This window comes from Homo sapiens, chromosome 19 (assembly GCF_000001405.40).
Source record: "Homo sapiens chromosome 19, GRCh38.p14 Primary Assembly".
NCBI lineage: Eukaryota > Metazoa > Chordata > Mammalia > Primates > Hominidae > Homo > Homo sapiens.
In genome coordinates, this window is record NC_000019.10 from 36,930,281 (window position 1) to 36,943,558 (window position 13,278).

General features: G+C 37.2%; 1 protein-coding gene across 8 annotated transcripts in view; it reads left to right on the forward strand.

Moving 5' to 3' along the window:
* Window positions 1–13,278, forward strand: part of ZNF568 (zinc finger protein 568) — an 81,601-nt gene that overhangs the window by 13,949 nt on the left and 54,374 nt on the right. For all 8 annotated transcript variants that reach the window (NM_001204838.2, NM_001204839.2, NM_001204835.3 and 5 more), the window contains 2 exons: window positions 6,466–6,592; window positions 6,867–6,962. In NM_001204838.2, coding sequence (NP_001191767.1) covers window positions 6,466–6,592; window positions 6,867–6,962 — 223 coding nt within the window. The remainder of the gene's footprint in view (window positions 1–6,465; window positions 6,593–6,866; window positions 6,963–13,278) is intronic.

Genomic DNA, 13,278 nt, shown 5'->3' on the forward strand with positions numbered 1-13,278 from the left:
CTGACTGCAAGCTCCGCCTCCCAGGTTCACGCCATTCTCCTGCCTCAGCCTCCCGAGTCGCTGGGACTACAGACGCTCGCCACCACACCCGGCTAATTTTTTGTATCTTTAGTAGAGATGGGGTTTCACCATGTTAGCCAGGATGGTCTCGATCTCCTGACCTCGTGATCCGCCCGCCTCGGCCTCCCAAAGTGCTGGGATTACAAGCATGAGCCACCGCGCCTGGCCAGGGGTGCAATCTTTTTATATGAGATTTATGCTAAGTTACTAGAGTTGGTGGGAAAATGTTTTTGTGCTGATTTGTTAGCACTAATTTAAAAAATGTTTTCTCTTTTTGTAGTTTTCCCCTATCTTTGTTGTGGTGTATATTCCAGAGGGATTATCTATTTCTGAAACATTCATCAGTTGATTATTGTGTCAAGCTCTGTTCTGAGTCACATTTACTGTGTTATTTAGTCTTCACATCAACCCTTTAAGGAGAATTCCACTTTATAGATGAGGAAACTGAGACTCAAGTTTGGCTATTTGTCAAGGTAACACAATTAGTAAATTTTGAAGCCAGAGTTTGAACCCATGACATTGGATACCACAGCCTATTAACTGGTAAAAAATATCTAAACCCAGCTCCGTTTTGAAAGTTTAGTATTTCAGCATTTTTTTTCAGTCAGAAATGTGTCAGTCACATGTCTGTTCAGCCTTTCTGCTGCTTTTGTGAATAGAAAACAGGCGTTCATTCTTATCCTTGGGGTCTGCAGGTTAACTATGTGGGCATCTCTGCTTTGGGCTGCAGATCAGCTGGCCTTGGCTTAGGCTCCACAGTGGGCTTGTGTCTGCTCTGCATATATTCATTCTGAGTTTCAGCTGAAATGGCACAGCTTCCTGGGCCAAGGTCTTCATTTGCTGTCTCACTGGAGCACATGAGCCAAGGTAAAGGGTGTAAGCAAATTTCAGGCCTTTGCTCACATCATGTTTACTGACATTCCTTTTGCCCCAACAAAGGGCTCAGACAAGGCCCACATTAGTAGATGGGACATTAGTACAGGCAGGAAGTGAAGACTCGCTGAATAATCAATTTATCACAGTAATATTTTCTAATGGAATTATTTTTTGTTGAGTTTGTTTTTGAGACCAGGACTTGCTGTGTTGCCCAGGCTGGAGTACAGTGGCATGAACTTGGCTCAGGTGATCCTCCCGCCTCAGCCTCCCGAGTAGCTAGATGATAGGCATGTGCCATCATGCCTGGCTAATTTTTTTATTTTTTATTTTTCGTAGAGATGGAGTCTCACTATGTTACCAAGGCTGTTCTCGAACTCCTGGCCTCAAGCAGTCCTCCTGCCTCAGCCTCCCAAAGTGCTACGATTATAGGTGTGAGCTACTATTCCCAGCTTCACTGAGATTTTTTAAACTTTAAACATATTGAAATATAGTCTTATAACTTAAAAAAACTTTATTAACATATAAGTCACATACTATAAAATTAGCCCATTTAAAGTATACAAGTGAGTGGTTTTTAGTGTATTCACAGAGTTGTGCAACCATCACCATAATCAATGTTAGAACATTTTCATCACCCTGAAAAGAAACCCTTTACCTGTTAGCTTTCACTTCCTGTTTTCCCTTAAGGCTCTGATGTAGGCAAGAATAAATGATTTCTAGCTCTATGGATTTGCCTATTTTGGACATTTAATGTAAATTGAGTCATATGATAAACTGTTATCCTTTGTGTTGCCTTTCGCTTAGCATTATGTTTTCAAGTTTCATGCATTTTGTAGCTTGTACGAGTACTTTTTATTTCTGAATAATATTCTCTTGTAGGGATATACCACATTTTCTTTATTCATTGATTAATGGAAATTTGATTCATTTCCCCTTTTAGGCTATTATGAATAATGCTGATAAGAACATTGATGTACAAGTTTTTATGTGGTCATATGTTTTCACTTCTCTGAAGTTTGTACATAGAAATGAAATTGCTAGATCATATGGCAACTCTATGCTTAACCTTTTAAAGAATTGCCCCACTGTTAGCCGAGTGCAATGGCTCATGCCTGTAATCCCACACTTTGGGAGGCTGAGATGGGCAGATCACCTGAAGTCAGGAGTTCAAGACCCACCTGACCAACATGGTGAAACCCTGTCTGTACTAAAAATAAAAAACAAGTAGCCGTGCCTGGTGGCACATGCCTGTAATCCTAGCTACTTGGGAAGCTGAGGCAGGAGAATCACTTGAACCTGGTAGGCAGAGGTTGCAGTGACCCAAGACCACACACCATTGCACTCCAGCCTGGGCAACAAGAGCGAAACTCCGTCCCCAGAAAAAAAAAACAGAATTGCCCTACTGTTTTCCATAGCAGTTGTGCTAGTTTACATTCCCACCAGCTGTGTATGAGGATTCCAGTTTCTCCATCAGCACTTGTTCTTATCTGTCCTTTGGTTATAGCTGTCCTAGTGGGTGTGAAGTAAAGCTCATGAGATTTTGATTTACACGTACTGTATAACTTGTGATGTTGAACACCATTTCCTATGTTTGTTGGCCATTTTTATTAATATATCTTCTTTGAAGAATTGTCTATTCAGAGCCTTTGCCCACTTCTAATTGGTTTGTCTTTTGATTATTGAACTTTTAAGAGGTCTGTACATATTCAAGTGTCATCAGATAAATGATTTGGAAATATTTTATCCTATCCTCTGGGTTGTCTTTTCACTTTCTTGATGATGTCCTTAGAAGCACAAAAATTTTTAGTTGTTCTGATGTCCATTTTTATTTAATTTTCTTTTGTTGCTTGTGCTTTTGGTGTCATATCTAATAAACCATTGCCTAATTCAATTGAAGGTCATAATTTACAACTATGTATTCTGAGACCTTTTTTTTTTTTTTTTAAGCTCTTACAGCTAGATCTTTGATCCATTTTGAGTTAACCTTTGTATACGGCATGATCCACCTTCATTCCCTTGCATGCAGACAGTCCAGTTGTTGTCCCAGCATCATTTGTTGAAAAGACTATTCTCTTCCCTGGTGAAGTTTTTTATCACCATTTATTATGATGTGGGGGTTTTGTAGTTGCCCTATATCATGTTGAGGAAGTTCCCTTCTTTTGCTTATTTGCTAATTTGTTGGATGTTGGGTTTTTTGGTTGTTGTTGTTTGTTTGTTTTCAATGATAAAAGGGTGTTGGATTTTGTTGACTACTTTTTCTGCATTTACGGAGATGATCTTATGGTTTTTGACCTTTATTATATTGGTATGATGTATTACATTAATTATCAGATGTTAAATTAATATTGCATTCTGCTGGGGTAAATCCTACTTGGTTATGGTCCATAATACTTTTTATATGTTGTTGGATTAGGTTTGTTAGCATTGAGGATTTTTACCTCTCTATTAATAAGAGAGAGTGGGCTCTAGTGTTTTTTTGGGGGGTGGTGCGTGTGTGTGTGTGTATGTTCTTTGTCAGGTTTTAGTATTAGGGTAATACTTGCCTCATAAAAGATGTGTCCCCTCCTTTTATTCATCCTCTTTGTTTTGGAAGAGTTTGTAAATAAGTTAGTATTAATTTTTTTGTTGTTTGTTAAAATTCACCAGTGAAGCCATCTAGGCCTGAGTTTTTCTTTTGGGTAGGTTTTTTTTTTTGTTTTGTTTTTTTGTTTTTTTTTTTTTTTTTTAGTAATTCAGTCTCTTGTTACAAGTCTTTTCATCTTTTCTTTTTGTTGCAGTTTAATCAGTTTGTGTCTTTCTAGAAATTCATTCATTTCATCTACTCTAGTTTGTTGGCATATATTTATTCATAATATTTCTTTGTATTCCTGTTTATTTCTGTAAGATTAGTAGTAATGTTTCTTCTTTCATTCCTGATTTTTGTATTTTGAGTCTTCTTGTCAGTGATATTTGTCCATTTTGTCAATTTTTAGTTTTATTGATTCTCTCTAATGTTTTTCTAGTCTAAATTTCTTTGATTTCCATTCTGATGTTTGCTTATTTCCTTTTAGTTACTTTGGATTTAGTTTGATCATCTTCTTCTAGTATCTTTTTTTTTTTTTTTTTTAATTGAGGCAGAGTCTCACTCTGTCACCCAGGCTGAAGTGCAGTGGCATGATCATGGCTCAGTGCAGCCTTGATCTCCCAGGCTCAGGTGATCCTGCCACTTCAGCCCGGTCCCCTAAGCTCCCAGTAGCCGAGACTACTGGCATACACCACCACGCCCTACTAAGTTTTTGTATTTTTTGTAGAGATGGGGTTTTACCATGTTGCTCAGGCTGGTCTTGAACTCCTGGGCTCAAGCAATCCGCCTGCCTCGGCCTTCCAGAGTGCCAGATTATGGGCACGCCCAGCCCTCTTCTAGTATTTTAAGGTAGAAAGTTAGTTTATTGATTTGAAATCTTTCTTCTTTTTTAATAAAGTGTGTACAGCTATAGGTTTCCCTCTAAAACTTGCTTTAATGGCATTCCATAAGTTTTGGTATGTTGCACCCTCATTTTCTTTTACCTCAAAGTATTTTGTAATTTCCATTGTGATTTTGTTGATCCATTGGTTATTTCAGAATATTGTTTAATTTTTACATATTTTTGAATTTCACAAATTTCTTTCTGTTAGTGATTTCTAATTTTTGCCCATTGTGATCAAGGAACATACTTTACACAATTCTCTTAAAATTTATTGAGGCTTTTTTTTTTTTTAAGAGACAGGTCTGGCTGTGTTTCCCTGGCTGAAATTCAGTAGCTGTTCACAAACATAATTATAGTTCACTATAGCCTTAACCTCCTGGGCTCAAGTGATCCTCTTGCCTCAGCCTCCTGTGTAGCTGGGCCTATTGAGGCTTCTTTTATAGACTAACATATTTTCTATCTTGGAGAGTGCTCTATACACTTGAGAAGAATGTATATTCTGTTGAGTGGTGTGTTCTATAGGTGTCTGTTAGATCTGGTTGGTATATGGTGTTTGAGTCTTCTATTTTCTTGCTTATAATCTGCCTAGTTGTATCCATTATTAAAAGTGGTGTTTGGGCTGGGTTCGGGGGCTCACGTCTGTAATCCCAGCACTTTGGGAGGCTGAGGCGGGTGGATCACGAGGTCAGGAGTTAAAGACCAGCCTGGCCAAGATGGTGAAACCCCATCTCTACTAAAAATACAAAAATTAGCCGGGTGCGGTGGCAGGCGCCTGTAATCCCAGCTACTCAGGAGGCTGAGGCAGGAGAATTGCTTGAACTTGGGCGGCAGAGGTTGCAGTGAGCCGAGATCGTGCCACTGTACTCCAGCCTAGGCGACAGACTGAGACTCTGTATCAAAAAAAAAAAAAAAAAAGTAGTGTTTGGAGTCTCCAAAAATTATTGTTAAATTGCCAGTTTCTGCCTTCAATTCTGTATTTTTGCTTTAGGTATTTTAAGACTGTTAGATGCATATATAATTGTTATATCTTTCTGCCAGATTGACCCTTTTATCATTATAAAATGTCCTTTAGTAACAGTTTTGTTTTAAATTCTATTTTGTCTGATATTAGTATATCCACTCTAGCTTTCTATGGTTGTTCGCATGCTGTGTTTTTTCCATCACTTTATTTTCAAGCTATTTGTATATTTGAACCTAAAATGTATTTCCTGTAGACAGCATGTAGTTGAATTCTGTTTTTCTATCCAATCTGACAATCTGTCCTTTTTTTTGGCCTGTTTAATCCATTCAGAGTTAATGGTAACACTAAAATTATTGGGCTATGTCTGCCATTTTCCTTTTTGTTTTCCATATGTCTCATGTCATTTTTTGTTTCTCCTTTACTGCTTTCTTTTCACTAAGCAAATATTTTCCAGTATAAAATTATAATTTCTTTAATGATTTTTCACTATATTTTCTTAGTGGTTGCTCTAGGACTTGGATACTATGTATCTTATCAGAACCTACTTCAGATTTATACTAAGTTCCATTAAGATATGGAAATGTTGGTCTTATGTAGCTCTATTCCCTCTTCCCTTGTTTTGTACTATTATTGTTATATATGTTACAGACTCAACCCATTATTATAATTACTACTGCATATAATGTTGCATCACTTAAAGAAGCTGAGAAAAGAGAGCAAATATGTATTATGTTTATTATATTAACCTTATTTACCATTTGTTTGTGTTGATTCAAGTTCTAGTAAATCTTGTGTCATTGCTTACTCTATTCCAAATTTGCTCTGAAGATTCTCTCTTTATCTCTGGTTTTCAACATTTTTGCTATGGTATATCTGACTGTGGGCCTCTTACATTTATTTTACCTGGAGTTCATTGAGCTTCTTGAATGTATAATGTTTTTTGTCAGATTTGGGAAATGTCCAACCATTATTTCTTTGAATGTTTTTTCTGCACCTTTCTCTCTTCTTCTTCTAGTACTCCTACCTCTGACCCCTGAGTACCAGCTAAACAAGTTCTTGTATGTTGTGATCACAATGCCTAATTTTGATGACTTCAAATTAATTAGCATTATGTTTTTACAGGAAACAGTGACATTTAAGGATGTGGCTGTTGACCTTACCCAGGAGGAGTGGGAGCAAATGAAACCTGCTCAAAGAAACTTGTATCGAGATGTGATGCTGGAGAACTACAGCAACCTAGTCACAGTGGGTAAGGTGGCTTGGTAGCCTTGCAATTTAACAGAGAATTCTTTTCCATTTCTGAAATGTGTGAAGACTGTAACTTGCCAGATGAATCTAGCCTTTCCTTTCTCCATGTGACTATATGTGCTCCACTCTTCAGTGTTAAAGGCTGATTACTTTGTGTCATTGTGTAAGTTCATTCATCCTCATCTTTTATAAGCCCTCAAGCTTGGACTTAGCCTAAGATCTGAATGGTTGTCTCCAGCATTGACATCCACATCCTTTGCTATTTCTTGTAATAGGCTGTCAAGTCACCAAACCGGATGTGATATTCAAGTTGGAGCAAGAAGAGGAGCCCTGGGTGATGGAGGAAGAAATGTTTGGGAGGCACTGTCCAGGTGAATAAGTGAAAAGCAGCTCTGAATGAGAAAGCCACATGAGAGTTGTTCAGTGAAGGGTTGATATCATTTCACAATTTCCAAGATTTTCTTAAAGGCCTTATTCTTCTAGAGTGACAAATGGGATGGAGTGCTTTAGATTACTGTGACATTTCTAGGTATTATTCTTCCTATTTTGCAGATATTTTCCTCTTTTAAATTGTAGAGGGCCAGTAGCCCTATCCAATTTCATAATACCAACCTTCCCTAATTCATTCACAGCTTCACTTTCAGGATTATTGTTCCTCTCTCTATGATCCTCGGGCACTCTCTTTCCTTTATGTTTATGGTTTCATTTTCTTATGCATTCAGTATTTCATGGTTGTGTAGTAATTTTAAAACATGTTTCACACTTAGGTTTCTTTTCATTTCTTTCCTTCTTTCTTTTTTAAAAAGCCTTAGATTTGTGTTTGGTTAACAATAGTTTCACTTCCCATTGTGCTTCACAACCCTCACAATCCCATGGCTTAGAAATGTAAAAGTTTCTGGCTTAGAAATCCCATGGCATCTCCTTTCTGCTTATTCCTGCCTTCCATTCCTTTAATTTTTTTGAAACTACATGAGGTCCATCCTTGGTTGAAAAGATATAACCAATGTAACCAATATTATACCTATAATACCAATATTATACCTTTTGTGCAAAAGTAAATCTTCCTCTTATCCTGGACATGGTCCCTTCCTTTCCACAGTTGCATACACTTCTTTTTTGGAGTTATCCTGGCTATTTTTGATTATTTATTTTACCATATGAATTTTAGACTAAACTGTCTATTTCCAGAGAAAAACCTGTTGGAATTTTTATTGGGATTGTGCTAAATATATAAATTAACTTTCAGAAATTTAACATCCTTTTAATGCCAATGTTTTCTGTCTAAGAACACACACTGTCTTTGTTCAGATTTTCATATCTACTTCTGTGTCCTTTAGAAATGGAGCTTTCCAAGTTTTCCCATTGTTGCTTTTATACATTTCACTATAATAATGGGTAAGAAAGCTATAAAACCATCCTTATTTACAGATAATGAGATTGTATCCCTAGAAAACACAAGCAAACCAATTGAGAAAGTACAACAAATAGTAACAGAACTCAGTGAGGTGGTAGGATATCAAATTAACAAAGAAAAATCAATAGCTTTCATATATACTTCAACAACCAAGTAGAAGATACTAAGGAAAGAAAACTACATTTATAGTAGTAAGAACAAAGATGAAATACTCTTCTGGGCATGGATATATAACAGTATACCAAACAAAATCCTGTCTTTATGAGCTTATAATTTAATGGAAACTAGAGTCCCTGAGGTTTTGCATATGGGAAAATATCTTTTTAACCTTTACATTTGGTTGATAGTTGGCTGTGTGTAAAATTCTTGAACCATACTTTCTTTTCCAAAGAGTTTTACAGACAGTTACCTGAGGGATTTAGACAATTCTCTGTTGTTTCCTAGATTCAAATGTTGCTTGGAGAAGTCTGAAGCCTGATTATTTCCCCTCATAGGTGACTTATTTTCCAGGATGCCTATAGGTTTCTTTTTCTTTAAAGCTTAAGTGGCTTTATGAGGCTATGCCTTGGAATTGATCAATCAGTATCAGTTTTTCCTTTCAGCTTGTGGATTCATGATTTTTGTTCCTTGAAATGTCGTCATATAGATTTCATGCTCGTTTCTTTTGTGGTTATCATTGTCATCTTTCGATGAAGGTATTTCCTGCTGTAGCCACTGTTTACAGAAGGATAGTGTTGAAGACTGTCCAGAAAAATACTCTGAGTTGGTAAGAAGTCTCTATACCTCACACTGACCTCCTTTATCATACAAGGTTTTGTGTTGAGAGTTGGTTTACCCTTTCATTCTCCCAAGTTAAAGAGAGATTATTATTTGCATACTTCCTCTAGAACTCAGTGTCTCTTCCATCTTCCTATGCTAACAAACTGCTTATATAAGAATACTGGCTGTTTGCATCTCTTTGTTCAGCCCTGCCTTTGTACCATTTGTCAGGGCCAGATGAAGTCCATTCTGTACCTGCCACAATTTCAAGACATCTGGCAAAAAAATGACTCATTCATTCTGCCCACAAGGGGGTGCCTCTGTTTTAGAGAACTCTGTTCCCTGTACTTTTTGTTGGAGATAAGAAACAGGAACTGCTATCTCTGGGTTTCTTCCCTGCCTAATCCAGTCTATTTTCTGTTCTTTCCTCCTATTCTGGGGATGGAGTTTAGCTATCTTTAAGGTTCATTGAAGATGTATTTTCTTTCTTTTTTTTTTTTTTTTTTTTTTTTTGAGACGGAGTCTCACTCTGTCATCCAGGCTGGAGTGCAGTGGTGCAGTCTCAGCTCACTGCAACCTCCGCCTCCTGGGTTTAAGCGATTCTTCTGCCTCAGCCTCCCAAGTAGCTGGGACTACAGGCACGCGTGACCATGCCTGGCTAATTTTTGTATCTTTTAGTAGAGACGGGGTTTCACCATGTTGGCCAGGCTGGTCTCGAATTCCTGACCTCGTGATCCGCCCACCTCGGCCTCCCAAAGTGCTGGGATTACAGGCAAGAGCCACTGCATCTGGCCAGAAGATATATTTTCTTTTTCTGTTTCTTCTTCATGTTTGCAGAGTGAAGAGGAGACAGAGATGTTTAATTCTACCATATTGAAACAGGAAGTCCTCTATGCTGTATTTGATCCATTTCACCCTTCTTGGAAATGTCTTTCTTCTTTGTGCTTCTCTAAAGGATTCAAATTCTTCCTTGGTTCTGGTTTATTGTTTATTTCTTCTTCCCTTGTGAAATATCTTTTACATGACTTCTTTCTCATCTCTCACTGGACATCACCCAAAGTAGTTCTGAATTACAATAGACTTCTTTTTCCTCAGAGTACCTTCATGCTATATCTGTGTTCATGCTATTAAATAGGTATTTAACTCTAGAAATGACAGCATTGGAATATGTATCTTTAATGCCTCCAGAATTTTGAAACTCTTCATATCTCTGCCATTAATTATGAGTGCTCTTACCTAAGTTCTAGCAGTTATTTAACTTTAATATCATTTTCTAATAAATGGTCCTCAATATTTCCAGCCTACATTGGTCTTGCCCATCTCTCAACTAACATTCTATTACACGTCTACCAGAGTGGTTGGAATCTGAAAACATATACTATCTTCTACATGTTTTCATATTTTGATGTCTAACACTTGTTTATTAGTCCACCTGGAGAAAGAAAACTTTTATTCTTCCTATAAATGAGTCATGATTGATGTAGAGCTATATTTGGGAAGATTTTTCTTATTTTTGGTTGTTTTAAAATATTTACCTACAGATTTCAAAATAAACGTGGAAGAAATCAGGCTAGAGTTAGAAAGACAGGGCATAGTCACATGAGATAGTGTTGAATGTTAAATTGCATGTGAAGTGTCTATTTAGTAAATGAGTAAACCAGACAACACCTAGAAAGTTTTAAGAGAAGGGCTGTAGAAGGAGTAACAAGATTGAGGCTTTCTTTTTCTTTTTGATAAGAGCTTGGCATTGAAGCCATTTTCCTGTAAGATCTATAGCTTATTTAGACTTATTAAAAATTAGAAAACATAACAAAATGTTTGGAAAGTAAAATTAGCGTGTCTGTTTGGGGGGTAAAATTAGAAACATGGCCTGATTAGAGGAGAGAAGATTGTAAGAGATTAGTGAAATCAAGGATGAGTTTTCCATTGTAGAGTCAGAAAGTTCTGAATTTTGCTAGCATTCATGTTCTCTTTTGCTGTCTTTTATTTTTAAAATTTTGTTGTCAATTTAGTTTATTTTTTCCCCTCTTTAATCACTGAAGCTATAGTTTTGCCCTGTGCATGGTGGCAGCAAGGTTACAATGGTCAATTATAAGCAGGGGTTTATAAGATAAACAGAATATGAAGGTTAAAACACATCTAGTTATCTGAATTTTAAGTTACCCACAGCTGATGGAACTCCAGGGGCGTGGAAAACCATTGTAGAACTAATGATGTAGGAATGTTATCATTTTGGGTGATGGTATGAAAGAAAAAAGTCAAAACACAATGGAATTTGATATAAAGGCAGTTTCAGTGTGGAGAAATAAACATAGGATAAGATGATAGGACCTGCTGTTAACACACTGTGGTGAATCAAAGATGGCTTGCCTCCTGATCAGCTTTATACTTTTTATTCAATAAAATTAGACCTTCCTATTTCTAATATGCCTTGTTCTTTAAGCACATATAAAAATGAATCACAATTAGATGGAAAGTTGGAGCTCTCTCCATATTTATTACCAATTTTGGATCGTATTTAGTTTGGACAGACTAATCTTCAAGTATGTTTAGATAGAAATAAAGGAATTTGAACTTTATGAAAATTAATTTGCCTGTGGTATGCAGACTGCACAAAAGATAGACTTGTCAGGATCATGACAGTTAATCTAGGCAAAAGTAATGAGAACTTGGGTTATCATTTGTTTCTCTTAACCTAATGTAGCTGTTATTATTTCTCATGCCATTTCTTTCCCTTTTAATATGCATTTTTAGTTTTTTCAAAGTATACCTTATACATTACTTGTTTTAGAGAGCCAGTAGAAATGTCAGATTATAGCAGTGCTGTGCTCTGACCTCACATTTCACCTCCTTTAGTCAATTATTTTTGACTTTTTTTAACTATCTCTTTTGTTGTCGACCTACGTATTTTGAAACAAATGTTTATACTGCTCTGTAAATTTTTTTTTTTTTTTTTGAGACAGAGTCTTGCTGTTGTTGCCCAGGCTGGAGTGCAATGGCGTGATCTTTGCTCACTGCAGCTCTGCCTCCTGGGTTCAAGTGATTCTCCTGCCTCAGCCTGCCAAGTAACTGGGATCACAGGCATACACCACCACGCCCGGCTAATTTTTTGTATTTAGTAGAGATGGGGTTTCACCATGTTAGTCAGGCTAGTCTCGAACTCCTGACTCACCTCGGTCTCCCAAAGTGCTGGGATTACAGGCGTGCACCACCGCACCCAGTCTGTAAATGTTTCTGTAGTCATTTTCAAACATAAGAATAGAGAGATAAAGGAGCTGGTCGCGGCAGCTCACGCCTGTAATCCTAGCACTTTGGGAGGCCAAGGTGGGCAGATTATGAGGTCAGGAGATCGAGACCATCCTGGCTAACATGGTGAAACCCCATCTCTATTAAAAGTACAAAAAACTAGCCAGGCGTGGTGGCGGGTGCCTGTAGTCCCAGCTACTCGGGAGGCTGAGACAGGAGAATGGCGTGAACCCAGGAGGCAGAGCTTGCAGTGAGCCGAGATCACGCCACTGCACTCCAGCCTGGGTGACAGGACCAGACTCCGTCTCAAAAAAAAAAAAAAAAAAAGAAGAATAGAGAGATAATATAAGGAATCCTCATGTATTCATCACTCAGCTTCAACAGTTACCGACATTTTCTTAGATTTGTTTACTCTGTTTCTCTCTTACCCCCACTCCAGTTTTGTTTTGTTTTTTTGCTGAACTACTTTACCTTTTCTTTTAAATACTACCATATGTATTGCCAAGAGATTTGTTTAATCCTGCAATATTTCTAACACACCTAACAACATTAGTAATAATTTCTTACTATCATCTTCTACTTAGTCTCTGTTATATATTTCATTGTGTCAAGAATGTTGTTTATGGTTGGTTTATTTGAATCAGGATCCAAATAAAATCTGCACATTCTTAGTTCACAGACTATACAAAAGCAGGCTGTGGGTATAGTTTGCCAACCCCTGCTCTAGATGTACCTTATTCTGGATTTGCCATTTGACCTCCTTGTGGTGGTGTTTGACATGCTTCTTTATCCCATTTTTCCTATAATCTGGCTTTATTCAATGCAGATTCAAATCTTTGGCAAGTATACCTCATAGGTGATGCTGTGTACATCCTATTGCATCTTATGTCAGTTTGTCCCACTTACAGACATAATTGAGATTGATCAGTAGATTCATGTATTGTCAGGCCAAATCCTCCTATTTCAGTGATCTCTGTCAACCTTTCACTTAAGGGTTTTAGCACCTATTGACCATCATAGCCTAGATCCATTATTTTATTGAGCGTCTTTCACTTTTATTAGCTGAAATTCTCCCAAAGAGAAAAACTCTCTCATTAACTATTTGATTGCACTGAAATACAGTTTCTCAGGCCAGGAAAAAGAAATACTCTTTCTCTTCAAAAGCTTTTAGAATAATGATTGGTGTCCTAGAGGTTTCCAAAATTTGTCAAGTTAAATCATTATAAATTTATGTAATTTGAGCATCAGAATATATTATAGGCATATAA